The sequence below is a fragment of the Homo sapiens genome, chromosome 7 (genome assembly GCF_000001405.40).
Source record: "Homo sapiens chromosome 7, GRCh38.p14 Primary Assembly".
NCBI classification, from domain to species: Eukaryota; Metazoa; Chordata; class Mammalia; order Primates; family Hominidae; genus Homo; species Homo sapiens.
This window is the reverse complement of record NC_000007.14, coordinates 120,854,652-120,874,547: the sequence shown is the minus strand read 5'-3', so window position 1 is coordinate 120,874,547 and position 19,896 is coordinate 120,854,652. Positions and strand designations below refer to the sequence as shown.

The following is a 19,896-nucleotide window of genomic DNA, read 5'->3' as shown; positions in this document are numbered from 1 at the left end:
GAAAAAATTGTTAGGGAACTTGAAGAATTTTCTCTTTTGGAGAATTACAGGCAGAATTTAGTCCTCTCTCATATGTTTTTTTCTCAGAGATAGGAAGATGATTTAACAAAACAACTTCCAATGCCAGATAGGTAGGTAGGTAAGTAGGTCAAGTAGCAAGATAGCTAGAGAGATAATTTTTTAAAATCAGGCTTGGACACCAATGAGTGATATGAATGCAAAACAATCTTTGTGTTCCTGATTCTCTTCCTTCCAGTCATCTCATTAACTCTTCTTTTTCTCATGCCTCCTTTCTTTATTTAAATCTCCTCTCCTTTCCTCCCTTCTCCTCCCTTACTTTCGCCTTTCCTCCACTCTCCTTTTCTTCTCTTTCTTTCCTTCTCAGTATCTGTTCTTCTCCCCACTCCTCTCTTCCTCCTTTCTCCTTTTCTTCTCCTTTCTCCCCCCCCCCCCATTTATTCTCTAAATCCAGTCACACAATGTTTCCTTAATCCCCTCTCTCCTTGATAATGTTTCAATATATATAACCATGCACAGTGTTTGAATTTGTTTGGGATAGGAGGTAAGGGTGTGTAGGAAAGATTTTATGATGTGGGTATTGTGAAAGACTTAAACCATTAAAATATTCAGCTTTCCTATAGTTAAGATCTTTAGAAAAAAGTACATAAAAGGGTACAGATTAAACTAAATTTGTCTTAGTGTTGCTAACTAATTAAACTAAGCGAATACCCATGATTTGTTTTATCATTTTTACTTGAAGAAAATTTATCAAATGGAAGATAATTACAGCAGAAGCCTAATTAGACGCTAACAGACCATACTCTTCTGTTCCGATGCATTAATGATCTCTTTTGTGTTATAATTGTTATATTCATCAGGGCGTGTTAAGTGTTTCTTTTGCAGTATTCATGTGGAGAATGCAAAGTGCAAAGTGAGGAATGTGACTCTTAAGAATGAGCCAGCTATTTGAAATGAGTTTGGTATTTCTAGTTGAATTCATCGCAGTTTCATTATCTGCATTACAAAAATTTCTAAAACATTTGACACTACTGTTAGTTTTAGCAGAAAACATGTCTTTTGAAAAATCACACCTTTCACTCAGTCTTTTCAATTGAGAATTGCAATACTTGTATGGAGTTATTATTGATTTACTGACACAGTCATTGTTTTGTGATGACTATCAAGTCATGTAAGTCATGAAATATTGTTATTTTTATTCTGCAAATGAAAGAATATAGGTTAAATGCATCGAGATTTATGGGCTTGAATCCAAGTTAACAAAGGAAATTAGTAGCTACCAATTAGCACCTGCAATGAAGGTTCAATGTACAAAATAATTATATGACTACGTATGAATGTGGATTCATAATACAATTGTATGTTTTAATCACAACTGTCTTCAAATTTGAAAAACCAAAAAAATAAAAATAAAGAAAGCAAATCTAACACTTATTAATCTAGATACACCCAGAGGAAACTTGAGTATCTGATTTTTATAACACACGGACTATTTCCAAAGCTCTCTTAGAAACAGGAGTTTGATTTTATTATTATTTTTTGACCAAACAACATATATAAACTAATATTATAAACCTAACTTTGACCCCTAAAAATTGAGATGTACTTTGTCATTTTCATAACACTGAACTACTGTTATCAATAAGATTAAAGGACATTCCCCATATTAGCACTTAGTGTTTAGATTTAAGAAAAGGCTGTAAGGTCATGGATATTTTACCTCTGAAAAAATGTCTATGATACTGTAAAATTACACAAAAAATTATCTTTCCCACCTAGAAGGGATAGAATTTTAAATATGTGATCTAATTTCTCAAAATTGAAACTATAATAATAAAATTAAATAAGTTAATAGAATGTTTGAAATGAAAAGCTCTTTATCCCTGTGGATGGAGAGCTATTAAACACTCTAGGTTTCCTGGCTCAGGAAAAACCCGATTAGAACCTTAGTTTTCTTCCCAGTTTACTGGTCATTTCGCTGACTATAGACTTGAAGTAGCTCAGATACAAAATTAGACTTGGAAATAAAATGATCTGCTAAAAGTTAAACTTTCTTGAAATATTTTCTCAGTCTTTTTTCAAAAAGTTAGCTCAATAATTCTTTAATGACCAGAAGCCACTTATCTTAGAACCTTAAGTACACAAAACATAGATGACTAAACACACACCCACACAATATTTTTACTTTAAATCCTTATGCAAAAACAGACATCACAGAATCCTTACACTAAAGCTCATTAATTTTTCAAGACTCTCATTAGAGTGTATTTCTTCTGACTTTGAGTTCTATTCTATCATCTTGGTTCTCCTGATTTTCTGTCCAAGGTAGATTATAAAATCTGTTCCTTTGCTTTTGGCAAGAAAGAGAGCAGGGGATAGGGAAGGGGAGAGCTATGTAGCTTGCAGCAAGCACACCTATGATCAGCAAAAATAATAAATCAGCAAAATCTTGAGAGTGAGGATACAAAAAATTATATTATAAATTTACTTACTAGAGAAGCTTATAAGCCACTCACGTTCATCAGCTCTGAGATTAATACTGAGAAAACAGTTTAATGTATTCACTGTTAAAATTCAGGCACATTTAGGCAAAACAAAAACAAAGTCACAAAACCATGCTAATATCCACAGGTTCATGTAGGCAGGGGCTGGGAAAATACCCCAGCTCTAGGGCTTGAGGGACATGTCAGAAAGGTCAAAGCAGACCCTGGCTTGCTTCTTGCAGGTTTTAGTGTCCAAAGTATCTAAGGAAATTCAACACTGAGAGTGTGTGTGTGTGTGTGTGTGTGTGTGTGTTGAAGGGTGGTCATAGTTGTGGGGGCAGATGGTAGACAACATTCAAAAATTGTCACTAAGCAAGTGGTAACACTATAGCGGTTTAAAGCTCCCTTCTCAACAGGTTCCTGCAAAGTAAGAAGACAACTAAATTATAGGGAGCAAGGTCTACCCTCTAGAGGGAAATATTAAGAATAGTAATGAGGCTTAGCCAAGCAGATGGAATTTGGGAAAGATTTTTGATTCCAAATAGGATTCTAAACTGCAGTGTTAGGCAGGGAAAGTAGAGGCAGGAACCCATAATTAGTGTTTGGCCGATAGTGTAGGGCAAATAGGGCAGGCAAGCCATAACTGGGAGACAAAGAGATTCTAGGAAGGCCTGGCAGCAAGTGGGCTTGTCCTTCCCGTTATACTGTCCACAGCATCAGGATTGTTTCAGGGGTTCAGCATGCAGAAGAGGGGCATCAGGAACTTAGCAAGTGTCTGCTAAGAAAGATAAGGGCTGGCATTATTAACTTAGATGAAGCAGGCATGGGCAATGTTTTTCCTTTATTTCTTCCCTTCCCTTCCCATCTCTTCCATTTCCCTTTCCCTCCCTCCCTCCCTTCCTTCCCTCTTCCTTCTTTTCTTTCTCTCTCTTTTTCTTTCTAGTTATTACTTCATCCTCTGTAGTCATTTCTTAGACCATTACAACTTTGCTCCCATTCACTTCTTTTGTACTGTTATTGGCAAATATATTTTACATGTATTATGCTTTTATACGTTATAAGCCTAACAATTTTCTCTCTTGCTCTCTCTTAGTATATAGATATAATTTTATGCAGTTGCTTTTAAATCAACTGAGAGAAGAAAAGAGAAAAATATGTATTGAAATTATCATTTAGAGTCACGCAATATTACGTTTATTGGTGCTCTTTGTGTGAATTTGAATTACTTTCTGTTATCATCTTCAGCCTGAAGAATTCCTTTTGTATTTCTTATAAGGAGGGCCTGCTAGCAACAAATTCTTTCAATTTTTTGTTTGTCTGGGAAACTCTACTTTGCCTTCATTTTTGAAAGATAGCATTACTGGATATATAATTTTTGGTTCACTATTTTTTACTTTGAGCCCTTTGAATATATTATCCCACTGTCTTCTGGCCTCTCTTGTTTCTTCAGAGAAGTCAGTTGTTAAGCCTATTGGGGTTTCCTTGTAAAGAACATGCCATTTTCCTCTTTTGACTTTCAAGATTTCCTTCATGTTTAGACATTTAGGATTTTTCTATGCTGTGTCTGTTTGTGAGTATCTTTGCACTTATCCTATGTGCTTTCTGGAAATGCACTAGGACATTCTGGACATGTATTTTATTATTTTCTAATAAATATGGGAAGTTTGCAGTCATCATGATTTCTAATATTTTTTCATCTTTCTCTCTCTCCTGTCCTCCTGGCACTTTCGTTATGTGTATGATAGTGCACTTAATGGTGTTCCAATATTTTTCTGAGGTGCTGTTAGTTTTTCTTCATTCTTTTCTCCCCTCTGTTCTTCAGCTATATAATCTCAACTGATCTACCTTAAAGTTTGCTAATTCTTTTGCCAATTCAAATCTGCTGTTGAGTCTGTCCAGTGAATTTTTCAATTTAACTTCTTGTACTTTTTTATTCCAGAATTTTGTTCTGTTTTGCAATGTTTAAATCTCTGTATAGAGATTTTCTATTTGATATGACATTGCCATCACACATTCCTTGACTTCTTTACTCATGCTTTCTTTTGACCTGTGAACATATTGATGAGGGCTACTTTGAAATGTTTTTCTGTTCGATCTAACAGCAGGTCACTGTCACAGGCAGTTTCTGTTGTCTGTTTTAGGTCTTTTATGAGTCATACTTTCTTATTTTTTGTCAGGCCTCGAAATTTTTTATTGGAAACTGCACATTTTAGATAATATATTTTTAGCAACTCTAGATATTGGTCCTCTTTTCCCCTTTGGGGCTAATTATTATTTGTTTATTTTTTTTTTTTTTTTTAGTAACTGGCCATATTATTTTTGTGAAATCTATTTTCTCCTATACTGTGAAGCCTCTGAGGTTGCTCTGTAGGGAAGCACAGCACTGTTTTTTTTTCACAGTCACCCTGGGATGACAATGGTCCTAATAGGAGGCTCTTCTATTCTTTTCCTGACTACAGTCAGCTGTTAAACTCTACTAACTAACTTGGTGCTGTGGCATGCACCTGTAGTTTCAGCTACTAAGGAGGCCAGGATTTCAAGGCCTATGAAGTGCACTATGATTGTGCCTGTGAATAAATAAAAAATAAATGAAAGTTTCCTGCTGATTGTTGTATCATTTTCAACAATGCCTCTGACATATATTCCTCTACAAATTAATCCAATCAAAATGTAGCTTCTTCAAAGGAATAGTTTCTGAGGTCAGTGTTTGATATTTGTTCTGACTGCAGAATGACTCTGCCCAGCTGTCTAAAACCCCGATTCTGTCTTCATTCATGGATCTAATGAAGGTACAGCCTAGACCATATGGTTTAGGCTGTACCTTCATTAGATTTAGGAGTGCCTTTTATCACAACCATCACTGTTTTTGAGAGCAGCCTTAGGCTCTAACTTCCTGTTTCCTGGTAAGCAGGTATATGCAAACCTACCCAGAAAGGCCAAGGAAGTTGGAAAGCTGAAGAAAGGCTGACAAATCCAGTTTCTCAGCAAGAAATATTTAATAGGGACTTATGAACCAAAGAAATGTCTCGGGCAGCTTCAAGAAGATTGATCCTGTGTCCAGCCCTCTACAAAGTTGTTTTCTTTTTTTGTTTTTTGTTTTTTGTTTTTTGACATGGAGTTTCACTCTGTCACCCAAGCTGGAGTACAGTGGCATGATCTCGGCTCACTGCAACCTCCACCTCCTGGGTTCAAGCGATTCTCCTGCCTCAGCCTCCTGAGTAGCTGGGATTACAGGCACCCGCCATCACGCCTGGCTAATTTTTGTATTTTTAGTAGAGACGGGGTTTCACCATGTTGACCAGGCTGTTCTCGAACTCCCAACCTCAAAATGATCCTCCGGCCTCGGCCTCCCCAAGTGCTGGGATTACAGGAGTGAGCCACCGCGCCCTGCCTAGAAAGTATCCTGTATATAGCAAGCTTTTAGGGAAAAGGCATGTGCAGGGGTCACACTTCAGACTTTCTTGCTGAAACTTGTGACCACTGGGGAAATTAGAAAGCATCTCTGTGAGGGGCTATCTATGCTACAAACATCGTTTAAACATTTTGCTGTAGAATACGTTGGTATACAGGAGTCAAATATCTGTCATCATGGTTGTTTAATTCAAGATGGTGTCACTCTTTCCATGCAACTGGCTGTTTTCCTATACTTGTCCATGCTTTGTTGCAAATAAAATCAGTTCCTCTGGAAAGAGATTAGAAGCTATCTGTTTTATGTCTTACTTCTACCCCCAGGCAAAATCTCTGAGACAGAGCTCTGGAGATGGGGATGAGGACAGTGGTAAACTTCTCTTAATGATACTCATACTCTAGGAGCTGAGATGAGTCAGGGAGGCAATAGCCTGAGGTCCTCTTGGCTTGCCTCTCTTAGCATGAATCCTTTGGTCAATCTCATGCACTGGGCAAGGGTGACTGGGGCAAAGGTGACTGGGCAAGGGTGACTAGGACCCAGTATTCACCCTGTACCACACTCAGGGACTGGATGAGTCTGAAAGAGGAAGAGAAAGGTGATAAGATGTCACTGGCATGACGTAAGAGAATATGGTACTGAGAAGAAAAAAAAGTATGCTTTGTTTTGTTTTTTAATTACTTCTAGTTTGTGGTAGGTATCTAAGCCACTGGATATTTATCAAAGGAGGTTGCTTTTTAAAGAAGAAATATGTTGGGGAAATGCAGCAGTTTAAGCACAGACAGTCTCAGGAATTCTCCTGCCCTCCCAAATCTTGTCTTTACACCTTCTGACATTTGTGAAACTACTTTTAAGCCCAGTGATGACAAGGCTTCTTATGAGCTTCTTATGAGATCTTTAGCCTTGCCAAAGTAGATGTAGTGTTTGCTATGTATATTTCTCTCTCAGTTAAATCTCTTTCTATAACCTATTATACTCTTAAAAATATAGTATAATTTCCTGAGTATGCAGTTTTGCTCTATGACTGTGTCACATGAGCTTCTAGGGTCAGTCTGGAAGGACACCACTACTAGTGCTCGGAACTGCTGGGCTTGGAGGGTTCAGTTCTGGGGCTGGCCCAGACTAGGAAAGATGGTCACTTATGATGGCTTGGGGGAGTCAATAAATACTGTGACTAAAGACAGGAATAAAGCTTGTTGTTAAGGCAATGGCCTAGTGTCAAATCCAAAGATCAAATGAAGGTGAAAAAGAAGCAAATAACAATGATAGAGGCAGGGAAACAAGGATTTGAAAAATATTCAAGCATGAAGAACTGGTTGCAAAAGTGCTTCGGTGTTGTGGAGTGTCTGTTTTCTTCAAGTTTGTAATGGAGTGTGGAAGTGAGGACAGTGGCTTAAAATAGATGTATATTATACAGGCTTTGAGAGTGATCATTGGATCCTCCAAGTGAATGAACTGGACCTTGGGGTAGGGCACGGTAGACATGAGGAGGTACTTTAATGCTTTTGGACAAATTTAAGTTCCTTATTGTATTAAGCCGTTCTTGCCTTGCTAAAAATAAATATCTGAGACTGCATAATTTGTAAGAAAAGAGGTTTAATTTGCTCTCAGTTCTGCAGGCTATACAGGAAGCAAAACACCAGCATCTGTTTCTGGAGCGGCCTCAGGAAGCTTACAATCATGACAGAAGCCGAAGGAGTAGTAGGCATCTCACACGGTGAAAGCAGGAGCAAGGAGGTGGGGTGGCACCACATACTTTAAAATGACCAGATCTTGTGTGAACTCAGAGCAAGAGCTCCCTTATCACCAAGGGGATGGCCCAAGCCATTCTTGAGGGATCCATCCCCATGATCCAAACACATCCTACCAGAGCCTACCTCCAACACTGGGGATTACGGTTCAACATGAGACTTAACAGAAACATACATTCAAACTATATATCACTTATATTTCCCCTGTATTTCTATATCTTTGTGCCTCACATCTATTTAGCTGCTAGGTCCTTTGAAATAGCTCTGTATTTCTTTGTAGAAATTGATATTTCTCAAAATATGTGCAATTGAGTATTAGGTCTATTCACTATTAATAAGAACTCTCTCTGTCTTTTTTTCTGTCTCTCTCTCACACACACAGGCACAAATACACACAGAGATACACAGAGATTACTTGATCGAATGTATTTAGGAAGTGCTGGGTTATACGAAGTGAAAGAAATTCCTTTCTTATAGGAGTTCTCAGAATCTCTACTACGCTAGAGTTTGCAAAAGTTCTAAGGGGCAAATATAATAGTTAGCATTTCCTAAATGCATTTGCCTATAGAATGCTCAAAAGTTTAGTGCTCCACAGAATCTTCTTTGTTAAATACTGCCAAATAATTGTCTCACTACTGTTATCCCTGTCTCAAGTTTACCCTACATATGGTTATCAGAATAATCTTCCTAATAATTGCACAACCATTTATTTCTAGGCACTTGTTTGGTGCTATCAGCTATCACAAGACTCTGGAGCCACAACACCCCGCACTGAATTTTGGCTTGACCTTTACTAACTGCATGATCTGTTTTGTTTTTCTCATATACAATATGGGCTTTTTTGAGGATTAAATTATTAATATATGTATAGCTCTTAGAATACTTTCTGGCATATAGTAAGCACTGTAACAGTGGCTTTTTTCTTTCTTTCTTTCTTTTGTTGTTGTTTTAAGTAAAAAGCACCAGAATTTCTTGCAGGGAGAGAAGTATGTGAAAGATGAGATCTCTGAGGCCTAGACTGAAAGAAGACAGTAAAACAAAAAAGATAGCTATGTTGTCTGCCTGAGAAGTTACCAGGAATTTAGAATTGGGGTGTAAACAATGAGTGAGATCAGAGAAGAGGCAGCCACTCAACATGGGAACTGCAGGGAAAGACTACAAGGAAGAAATAAGTAGGACTAGAGAATTTCTGATATTTGGTTTTGAGTTGTATACAGTGCTGCTACAGCAATACTTTCAGATTCTTTGTGACTTCACTCAAAGGCAGCTATGAACATAGACTTTTGGACAGGGAAGAAATCTTTTCTTGAAGACTGTTCACCCTTTAGAGAAAAGAACAGCATGTATGAGTTGGAAAGATGATCCATAAATGGATTCAGAACTGGAGAAAAAGTGTTTCCTCCTTCTCTCCCCATCTCTAGAATCCCCAGAGGGATTGCAAGGGGAAAACATTTTCACCCACTCCTTGTGGGAAAGAGGCTGGCCTATTCTATTTAAACCTTAAAGGGCAGTGTGACCCCAGCTAAATTTAGGCTCATAATTACATATTACTCATGACCACTTTCGGTGGTAGGTATACAGATAAGGAAACTGAGGCTTGTGGACATGAGATCATTTGCTCATAATCCCATTACTAACATTTGGTAAAGCCAGCATTTAAATCCAGGTCTGACTTCAAACTCCTGCTGTTGTTTGTTTATGTCATTTTTCTGCTCATATCAACATGTTTCAGGATTGTCATTGCCTCTGAATAAACTGCAAACTCCTCAGGACAGCCTTTAAGATCTTCCTTAATCTGGAAACCTCTAACTTTTAAAATCTTAACATTACCACTTTTAAAAGTAGGGTCTAGAGAAGTTTCTCTGGGATGGTGTTTTTTGCTTTTGAATCTTGCTTTTCTAGGGACCTAAGTTCATCTCCCTGGATCAACTTCACCGAGTGTTGGCAGAGACTGGCTAATTTGTCTTGACATGGACTGGGGTCTTTCCTTACTTGCGTGACACTTTTCATGTTTTTTGCTGACCGATTCCTGTGCCACTGAGTTTTCTTACCATTTGCTGGGATTCTGTGATATTGCCATCTGTCTTCCTGCCATAATTTCCACCTAGTGCTTGCCAACACATTCCCTTCATACTTGGTTCTGCTTGACTGCCTGAATTTACATTGCCTTTTGATGGGTCTTCACTCAAATTCCAGTCACACCCTAATTGATTGGTCTAGTTTTTAGGTTCTGGCCATCCATGCCTGTTCCCATAACTGAATAAGGCACGTTTGTAAAAACTTGGATGTCTAGCAAATGTGATAAATTCATGGGATAGTTGGGAACACTGGTCTGAATAGAAGGAAAGTTGTGGAGAAAAGGAAAAAGGGGAAATGATTTATGATGTCATTTGCATATGTGCAAGCTAGTGACAATAAAAGGAAGAAAAGATCAAGAAAGAGAGCCCACTTGAGCAACATGATTTTGGTAGCTATATTCTCAGTTTTTATGTCTCACCCGAGGAAGAGCTGTTGAGACCTAGTTAATTAAGTCAACATATGGTCAGCCTTGCAGCCCAAGCTGGCTGCTGCCATTTTTTAAGCCAAAGTGAGAACCAGCTCATCTCCATTTCGGCAGAATTGGTAAGATTCTTCTCTATGAACCAGTGACTCGTAAAACACCACCAATATAAAACTCACAACAAAATGTATAATTTAATTTCTAGCAGTCATTTTGGAAAAATATGTATGTTTCTTAAATCAAACATACTATATCCCAAGTATTTTCTCTAGTCAGTTATAGGGAATAATATTGCTGATAAAGCCAAGAAATAGATGAAAATTATAGAAATATGTATAGTCAATAAACTAACTGTATGAGTTATTTATGGGTGTCTTATGTTGCTGACATGATATATCTTCCTTTATTGCTGTGAGTAGTAATCAATCAGTTAACATTGCTTTCTACAAAAGAAAACTAACCATACAAAGATAATAGAACATAACGGCAATTGCTAGAAATAATAATTCTTTGCAGCGAAAACAAATGCATTGAGAAGAAATGCATTCTTCTAGAAGAAACCAAGGACACTAACTTTTTTTCTTTTTCATCAGTCAATCATTTCTACATTCAAACCATGAAATTTGAAATGAGAATTTACAACATCTCCAGTTTTCCATACATGGTTATTGCTAGTATACATACACACAAATAATAATCAAATGGTTGTTTTACACGTGGTAGGATGAGGACACTTGTGAGTTCGGATTAGCCAGCTAGAAATAATTTTAAAAACAAAAGATTTTATCTAGTGTCACAAACAAGTGTTTTATTTAGTACAGCATTGGAGTAAGCTGGAAGTTTTAAAACACACCAAGAAAATGAAAAGAGCAGCAGGCGAAGACAAATATCTAATATTCTTGGTAACTATTTGATTATCTTTCCCCAGTTGTATTGTGGGTGTGACAAAAAGCTGATGTAGTGGAATAACAGTATAATTCCTGAGGGATCTTTCTGAGAAAAGTAGAAATTGGCAGCTGTTTGTAAATAGACGTGTATTCCTTCCTTTTCCTTACATTTTGTTTCAAATAACTGAAAATTAAGAGAAGAGTTCTTTGTTATTGTTGTTGTTGTTGCTGTTTGAGAGAGAGAGAGAGAGAGAGAGGGTCTTGCTCTGTTGCTAAGGCTGGAGTGCAGCAATGCAATAATGACTCACTGCAGCCTCGACTTGCTGGGCTGAAGAGCTCCTCCCATCTCAGACTCTTGAGTAGCTGGGACTACAGGTGGGCACACAGCATCTGGATAATTGTTTTTATGTTTTGTAGAGATGGGATTTGCTATGTTTCCCAGGCTGGTCTCCAACTCCTGGCCCAGCCTCCCAAAGAGCTGGGGTTTCAGACATGAGCCACCAAGTCTGGACAAAAGATCTCTTATATTCTATAAATTTTGCTTTCTGAAGAGGAAGCATGCTAATGAAGTTATAAATTTTTGAGAGCCAAAATTATGGTAGAACTCTTGGTATCTCCTAGCACAGTTCTGAGTTTGTAGTAACAATTCAATAAATATTTATTAAATCTGTGGGTGAAGTGAGTCCAAATTTCTAAACTTTGCATGAAGGTCAGGTTTCAATAAAGTTTAAGAGAAAAGTTTTCTAGGATTTCATAGGAGGGTACTGATTTGGGCACTTCTTTAAAGAATTACCTGGTGTGTAAATGCAAATGACGATGCTGAAAGTAAGCTTATGGCATGGGATGGAAATGATGTGATACGAGTTTTCTCAGGGTCCTTTGCTATTGCCATGAGGTTCCTGCTTCAGTGGTTCTTTCAATAACTAAGAAACTTTGCTAAGTAGTGCCCCAAAATGGTTGGCTGAGAGCTGGGTTGTCCTAGCAGTGAACAGGAGAGAGGATGGTACTATGCCTTCCTTTCTCTATCCCTCAGTTCAAATAAAAATCTGACTGTGTTCAGTTATCTACCTTCCTCTCTTTGGCCCTGTGCTTTAGAGAAGGGCTGTCCCAGGCACAGGTAATACATCTTGATTGGTTTAAAACCTGGCCAGTCATGGTGGCTCACACCTGTAATCCTAGCACTTTGGGAGGCTGAGGTGGGTGGATCACCTTAGGACAGGAGTTTGAGACCAGCCTGGGCAACATGGTGAAACTCTGTCTCTACAAAGACAAAATTAGCACGACGTGGTGGTGCATACCTGTAGTCCCAGCTTCTCGAGAGGCTAAGGCATGAGAATCACTTGAACTCGGGAGGCAGAGGTTAAGTGAGCAGAGATGGAGCCACTACACTCAAGCCTGGGTGACAGAGTGAGACTCTGTCTCAAACAAAACAAAACAAAACAAAACAAAACAAAACAAAACAAACCAGTTATGGTAGAACCATAGTTCTTGTGAATAATTGGTAGATATATGAGTATGTGACCAGGTTCTAGCCAATCAATCAAAGGGATAATCTGCTGCAGAACTCCTGGGAGAGGTTTGCTAGATCCTAAGAGAAACTCATAGGAGAAAATACCTTCTTCCTTTGGAAGTAATGGTAACTGAAAATGATGCTTGAATTTGCACAGCCATCTTGTGACCATAAGAGGAGGTACCTGAGTATAGTATGATTACTCATTGTGTGTGTCAGGAGAGTAAGGAGGAAAAAGAACTGATTCCTTGATATCACTACTGGGCAGATGAATCGCTATTCCTGGACTCATTGTTATGTGAAACATATTTGTTTTTGTGGCTCTTTGAGTGCATTTGCTAGTTTGCATAGGGAGGCCAGATTCAACTAATACAAATGTAGGGTTTGCAATTCAATTTGAATTTCAGGTAGACATTGAATAATTTTTTAGTATATGTATGTCCAGTGCAATATTTGTCCCATGCAACATTTGGGACATGCCTATACCAAAAAATAAAAAATTGTTGTTTATCTGAAATTTAAATCTAATGAGGTGTCTTGTATTTTATCTGGCAATCCTAAGCTTACAGTAGAAAGCAGTCTACTTAATTCAGTAATGAAAGGATTTTCTCAGGTCTTATTAGGTCTGTATACTCTTTTAGAAGTGAGGTGAAAGTAGATTTACCAGTCATAGTTTAAGTACACATATTTGAATTTCAGCTTCATATTCTCGAAAACTAACTTTAAAAAGTTCGAAAATTTTCCTCTTAAGTCTTGTCCAACCAGATTTGAAATTTTATTGTAATGCAGATAAACAGTGGAAAGAATCAGACAGATCTTAGAATCTCAGCTTCTTTATTTACTACCTGTGTGGGTCTGGCAAAAATCAGCTATCTGAATTGATTTCAAGTATCTCAACATATAGTTATGAGGAATTAATAAGATAAATTGTGAGAAGCACCTATTATGTCAGACACATGTAATTTGTTCAAAACACATTAGGTGTCTATCCCATATTAATTGTAAAGTACTGGCTTAGGAGTACTTGTGAGGGTCTTGTACTAAGAAGGAATAGCAACTCATACATCCAAACTCCTGTGTTATCCTTTTTCTCTCCACAACTTTAGCAGAATGAATAGAATAAGATATGAACAAACAAGCTGCCATACGGAGTGAGGAACTTGTATTCTCTTACATATAGCTGAGTTTTACTCCTGACACTGGGACTGACATGTATGTGATTCCTTGTAAATGCTTATTTTATTACTTTTTGATGTCATTATTATTGTTATTATTATTATATAATAAGAAAGGATAGTTTTGCCTTTTCTTGGAGGGTAAGAACTTGTCTTAGTATCTTCAGCATGAGGCACAGTAGATACCACCACTGAAATGATACTTATTGGAGAACACCTGGCCACAGAATTGGGTTCCTGACTAATGGGTAGTAAATAGACCATACAATTTTCCTAATATGTTATTACATATTCAAATTTTTATGTGCATATTATGATATTTCTATCCTCCTTTTGTTCACACACACAAAAAAACAGATCTCACAGAGAAAAATATAGAACCCTCAGAATGACAGCTGCGATGTGAAGTCTTACTGTGCTTCCACAATTCTGGGAAAGAGAAGAATTGGAGAGGGAGGGAAGAACAGCTGCCTTCAAGTAGTTGAAGGGCTGTCATATGGGAGGAAGGCTTGCTCATGCCATGGACTCCAAGGGCGGAACTAAGGTTGAAGGGTAGAAGTTAAAAGGTGGTATGGTCAAGTTTAAGCAATAAAAACTGCCCATTACTGCAATGTCTCAAATGTGGTGAGGTCTCCTCTACTGAAATGTTGATTCACTGTCTCTGATGACCATTTATCAGGAATATTAGAGCAGTAACTACAGCTCTGTTTTCTTCTTAACTTGTAAAATGGGGATAATAATCCCAATTTATCGACTCACAGGAGAGGGATTTGATCCAACGAAATCTAAAGAGACCCTTTTGCTAGTTTTTAGGCAGCTGTAAAGCCCTCGTTGCAGGGTTTTCAAATTTTGCTGCAAACTAGAATTACCTTGGGAGCTTGGAAAACCCTGTGTGTCTAGGCCTCACCTGCAGAGACTCCGATTTAAGTGGTATCAGGCATGCCAGAGAATTAGGGTTGTTTCAAAGCTCTCCAAGTGATTCTCGTGTACAACAATTTCGAGAACCATTAAACTAGAGTACTAAGAGCCATTATTCTGGATTTTACTTTGGAATCTAGGTTGGACTACAGATGTGACGTTGAGCAACTACTTTATCTTGGATCTGTATTTCTTGTTTACCAGGAAGAAGAGGACATGCATACTTCTAAAGTAACTTCCTCTAGTATTTTATTACTTTAAGGCAGTTGACCCTTAAAGGTATACGAATTAAGGAAAGGGCACTTAACTACCTTCTAGGAGTAGAAGAGGATCTCTGCTTTGACACATGGGAATTGTTGGCACTCTTTTTCTCAGTTTTAATAGCAGTCATGGACTCCTTTCAATGCGGGGATGTTTATACCTCTCCGGGGAATGTATGGCACCAACAGCATTTGGATGGCTGGTTGTTTCAGCAGTCCTTTGCTTAAAATAGGCATGCACCCTAATTTGAGAAGAAACTGGCAGAGGATAAAAGTGGGTTTCTTTGCTCTTCCCCAGTATTCTAGAAGCTGCTTCATTATCAGAGTTGGAGTCATCTGATGGATAACTGGACATGTTTCTTGGTGTTTTTTTTGTGTATGGCTATACTTCTTTATACTCTTTTGGGTTGCTGTCTTACATACTGCTTAGTGACTTGCTTACCAATAATTTTCCTAGCCTAACCCAGGACAACCATGTTGTCTTTTGGTCTTGACTTTTCCATATGAGACTGCATGTCTTATTGTCACTCCAGTCATGCAGCAACTAACTCTAGACAGGCAGTCATGGACATAGGATTCCATTTTTTTTTTTTTTTTTTTTTCTGCAAGGAAATCCAAGGACTCCAGTTATTAGGTCAAAGATGTTGCTCGTATTCCAGGTAATTCATATTTGCTGGTGAAGTTTTATTTGCCATGCAGTGCCCACAAAAGTAATCCTAGAAATGAGCAGTACTGTGAGGCATAGCACAACACATCCACATTTTATGTGGAGGATATGATCCAGTGGCATTTTATTTAGTGTGAAACTTCTGTCTTCTAAAAGGGAAGATTCTTTTGGAAGGATGGTCTCCTGCTGTGTAATACTTCATGAATTTCTAGTTTAAAAAAATTAGATTTTCCAAAGATCCACTACTATGTACACATTTCAAAATAAATCACCCAGTTAACTCAAAACAATCTTATCGTGAGAAATTTTGGAAAGCTTGAGTTACTTCTAAGAGTTAAAAATGTTCTTTCCTCCTCTTCTGCATGTCAGACTGCACATGATTACTCTGATGTTTCCGTAAATGCTATTAGTGCACTATGAAAGTGGGAAAGAACTTAAAAAAAAAAAAATCCGGGAGGGCAACAAAGCAATAAGAAGGATCATAGGGCACCATGTTAATAACAAATCACAGGAGGTGGCTCCATAAAGGTTGTGAAAACTAGTTTCTCATTGCAGGAATTGGGTTGGGCCACCCCTTCACCCCCCTTCTCAAACACAAATATTATCATATAATAAAAGCCTGCTTCTCTATGCTTATAACCCAGCCTCCATTCCTTCGACGCCACCATTTTAAAGGGATTTACTGCACGGACTTCTCCCAAGTTCCTAGGCATTATCTTCTGGACCCTATCCTGCAGAGGTGAAGCGTCCCTTTGGGGACTCTCGCTGGGTGAGAGGGACAAGAAACACCCACTAGGACCCAACCCCGGCAGCCAGCGGCTCGAGCATGCGCTGAGAGTTTGTGCAGCTGGCCCTGGCTGCCGCCGCTGCCTCGTCCGGACTCGGAGAGGACTTGGGAGGGACAGCGGCGCTGGGAGGTGGCTTAGCAGAGACTTTCCAGCAACTGCTGCCCAGGACTTTTTTTTTTTTTTTTCTTTTTCCCAGGAGGCGGCGACGGCGGCGGCGGGGGGAGAGGAAGAGAAAGAAGCGTCTCCAGCTGAAGCCAATGCAGCCCTCCGGCTCTCCGCGAAGAAGTTCCCTGCCCCGATGAGCCCCCGCCGTGCGTCCCCGACTATCCCCAGGCGGGCGTGGGGCACCGGGCCCAGCGCCGACGGTAAGTGGCCACGCGTCTGTCGCCTTTCCTGCCCGCTGTCCCGCCAGCCCGCCGGCGGCTGCCCTCCGCGCTGTGTGCTAAACTACTTAAGGGCTGGCTCTGGGGCTCCCTGCCGCCGGCGCTTCCCCTCGCGCCCTGCCGGGGGCGCGCGGACGCGATGGCTGGGTCGGTGGCCGCGCTCGCTTTGTGCTCCGCGGGCGGCTTTGAGCGAGGGGTCGCGGGAGCGTCCCGGGCGGGGGAAGCGGGGTTTGAATGACTAACCCGGCGTCTGCACAGCTGCATCGGCCCTAATTCCCCGGCGCCCCCCGCCCCCCGCCCACTGTCCCAGGCTAATCCATCATTCTGGGGCCGAAAACATCATTTCTCACGTTCTCCCAGAGAAACCCTAGTAGCCGGGCGGAATCTCAACTCCGCGCTGCCCCCTCGCCCCCGCCCCCGCCCCCGCCCCGCCGCCCCAGTCCCTTGCATTCACACCCGAGCTGCGGGACGGGGTAGAGGGGTGCGGAGTTGGAGTGCCCAGGAACTGTCCTAACTAGAAGGGCGCTCATTCTCTCGGGCTTGCCGGTGGCGCCTCTGACGTGTCCGGGGTAGGGGGCAGTGTGGTTTCTCACCTTCAGGACAGTGCCGAGCACAGCTGTCCTCGAGGAGGGGCGTGGAGTGAGGGAGGTTTTCAAGAGCGTCTCATCAGAATGCACAGGGCTCCGCCGCGTGTCCCCTGAGAACGCGAGTTTACTGTGCGACTTCATTCATCCGGATAGTTGCTCTTTTCTTTTCCCAGCAGGTGTTATCTGAAGCCGGTTTGGAACTTTTGGGAGTTTAGTTACCATTATGATTTTAACAAATGATTTTTGATGAGGCGATGTCTCGAATGCACTGGGCCTCGGGACCCTCTGGACCCTGCTGAGGGCGGGTGGAGGAGGGACGGGCAGGCTGTGGGAAGCGTGATGGTGAGATGTCCCGTGTTCTCTCTCCCCCGCCCCCTGCAGATCGCTGCCGTTTTGCCCTTGGGAGTAGGATGTGGTGAAAGGATGGGGCTTCTCCCTTACGGGGCTCACAATGGCCAGAGAAGATTCCGTGAAGTGTCTGCGCTGCCTGCTCTACGCCCTCAATCTGCTCTTTTGGGTAAGTAAGTTTCACTGCACCAACAGGTGGGAACGGCTGGCTCTGGTTTTCTGCAGCCACCGGATAATGCGCCAAAGGGCATGGCTAAGCATTAATTAATTACATGGGATAACACCCTTTATTTTTCAGAGAAGTAAAATTTGACCTTCTTAAAATGCCTTTGATCTAGCTCAAGTTCCATTTGTAATTAGAACAAAGAAATCCACCCCTGGATACTACTGGCAGTAAAATTAGACTTGAAGTTAATCTAGGGATATAAATAAATGCACGTGCTTCTACTCATAGATAAGAAAATTATGACATACTACTTAGGGAACTGCTTGTTTGCGGGAATTTTAGATAATTGTGCAAGCCATAAATTGTTTCTTTACATCTCTGTCGCCTGTAAAATCTAGTTGGGCCAAGTCTTAATATATTTTTTGTGGGCGGGGACGAGGGGGAGGTGGTGGTGGAATTCACACCCAGATAACCTATCACAGAAAGGCTGAGTAGATTTGTCTAGGGGATTCCATACGGTCTGAAGGGTGATTTTTATGTAACTAATTCTAAGTTGGCAAAGTTTAAGGAATTGTGTGTATGCTTTTGGAAAATCCCATAACCATTTAAGGAAATAAAATACATAAAATGTAACAAGCTCATGGAAATCTTTATGCCCTATGAGTTAATGACTTTTTATGCTTTAAATCTTAATAAAGTATGATTAATAATCGTATTATTACTTATAAAACTTAGGAAAATGTAACAATTTAAACAGTAAATGTTGCTTCAGGAGGCTGCCATTCTTAAGCAAATTGTTCTTTCCATTTTTTTGTGTTCTATTAATAATTTTATTCAAAATTTTCTGTTACAAATTTTATTGTGCAATTTATTTATGTGGCTGACTGGCTGGCGTGCTGACTGGCTGGCATTGCCCAGCCTTTTTTTCATAGGGCTATTACATGTGGTCTCTAGAAGATGACATTTAGGTTGAACTGCACCTTATAGATGGCCCCATTTTAAAGGATAAATTAAGTCTTACTTCAGTGAGTAATCTGAAAATATCTAAAATGGCAGCATTCCTTTTCTCAACATTAAAGCATTAATTTCTCAAAATTAAAGCATTGGGTAGTTAAATTCACCATTTGGAAATGTAAAATCACAAGTTGATCTTATTGTAGTTTATACTTCTTAAAAGCTTGATTTTTAAGTGAATCATTAAATTACCTGGATCATTAAAAGTTATTAAGAGTTTAAACTCCATTTCTTTAAGATGTATGATAATTATCACTCCTGTTTACTAGTTTTTCACTTTTCTACATTGTGCTTTTTAATTATAGAATCATCACATTCCACTTCTAAAAGGAGCTTTAAAGATGGCCTGGTTGAACGTCCTTCCTTTGTGAGTGAGGAAATTAAGTGCAGATTAAGTGACTTGCCAAAGATCAGATAGTCCAATGGTGGCAGTGCCAGGAACAGAATTCAGCTTTCTTGCCCCTAGACAGTGTCTTTCACTTGACCCTTACTGAGTTTTGAACCTTAGAATTACTAAGATTGTTGTTGTTGTTGTTTAATAAAGAATAAAGCTTTGAAAAATTTGTTAATACTTTACATTGTGTGGGAAAAAAGAACCAAATCATTCAACAAAAATATCACTCCTCTTGGAAATGAAATTTGCATAAAAGCACCTATTCCTGAAACTCTTCCAGGGCTCTTTGTGTCCCCAGAGAATGTAAACGTTATTTCTTTGTTGTTACCCTGTACTTAAACCTTCTAACTTTCTATGTTTGTGTGTGGTGTGTGTGTGTGAGTGTGTTCTGGTTTATTGACTTATTTAGATTGCTTCCCTATTTCTCCAGCCCTCCTCTTCTCCCAATATCACCTACGCTTCAACAAAATAATCCAGGTTAAGCATCTTGTATACGTTTTTCTTTATTTTGTTTCATACAAAGATAGATTTACTCATACCTGTCCACAACAGATACACAATGCTATACATGTAAATTCTTGATTTTTTTGCTGTTAAATTAGTTTCTCATTTGGGTTAGAGTCATAGGAGTGGAATTGCTA

General features: G+C 39.6%; 1 protein-coding gene and 1 long non-coding RNA gene across 5 annotated transcripts in view, besides 3 other annotated features; one reads left to right on the top strand and one right to left on the bottom strand.

Moving 5' to 3' along the window:
• LOC124901733 (uncharacterized) overlaps positions 1 to 17,713 on the bottom strand; it is a 45,306-nt gene extending 27,593 nt beyond the window's left edge. The window contains exon 1 of the long non-coding RNA XR_007060491.1: positions 17,340 to 17,713. This is a non-coding gene — a long non-coding RNA (uncharacterized LOC124901733). The remainder of the gene's footprint in view (positions 1 to 17,339) is intronic.
• Positions 6,313 to 6,437: a silencer, noted in NCBI's record as "fragment chr7:120508165-120508289 (GRCh37/hg19 assembly coordinates)". NCBI's record gives its function as "represses an EF-1alpha promoter that drives an FKBP-Casp9 reporter gene in an ReSE screen in phorbol 12-myristate 13-acetate-treated (for megakaryocytic differentiation) K562 erythroleukemia cells {active_cell/tissue: K562(+PMA)}" and the evidence as "EXISTENCE:reporter gene assay evidence [ECO:0000049][PMID:32094911]".
• The window catches only part of TSPAN12 (tetraspanin 12), a 71,016-nt gene continuing 67,332 nt past the window's right edge, over positions 16,213 to 19,896 (top strand). For 2 of the 4 annotated variants that reach the window (XM_047420096.1, XM_005250239.4), the window contains exons 1-3: positions 16,213 to 16,314; positions 16,560 to 16,728; positions 17,715 to 17,850. In XM_047420096.1, the coding sequence (XP_047276052.1) occupies positions 17,785 to 17,850 (66 nt within the window). In that variant the 5' untranslated portion in view covers positions 16,213 to 16,314; positions 16,560 to 16,728; positions 17,715 to 17,784. Of the gene's footprint in view, positions 16,345 to 16,403; positions 16,729 to 17,714; positions 17,851 to 19,896 lie in introns of those variants that run through there. The other 2 variants (XM_047420095.1, NM_012338.4) reach the window with 2 other exon arrangements.
• Positions 16,750 to 17,049: a silencer, noted in NCBI's record as "silent region_18573". NCBI's record gives its function as "represses an Ori minimal core promoter by ATAC-STARR-seq in GM12878 lymphoblastoid cells {active_cell/tissue: GM12878}" and the evidence as "EXISTENCE:reporter gene assay evidence [ECO:0000049][PMID:35858748]".
• Positions 17,242 to 17,461: a silencer, noted in NCBI's record as "fragment chr7:120497141-120497360 (GRCh37/hg19 assembly coordinates)". NCBI's record gives its function as "represses an EF-1alpha promoter that drives an FKBP-Casp9 reporter gene in an ReSE screen in HepG2 liver carcinoma cells {active_cell/tissue: HepG2}" and the evidence as "EXISTENCE:reporter gene assay evidence [ECO:0000049][PMID:32094911]".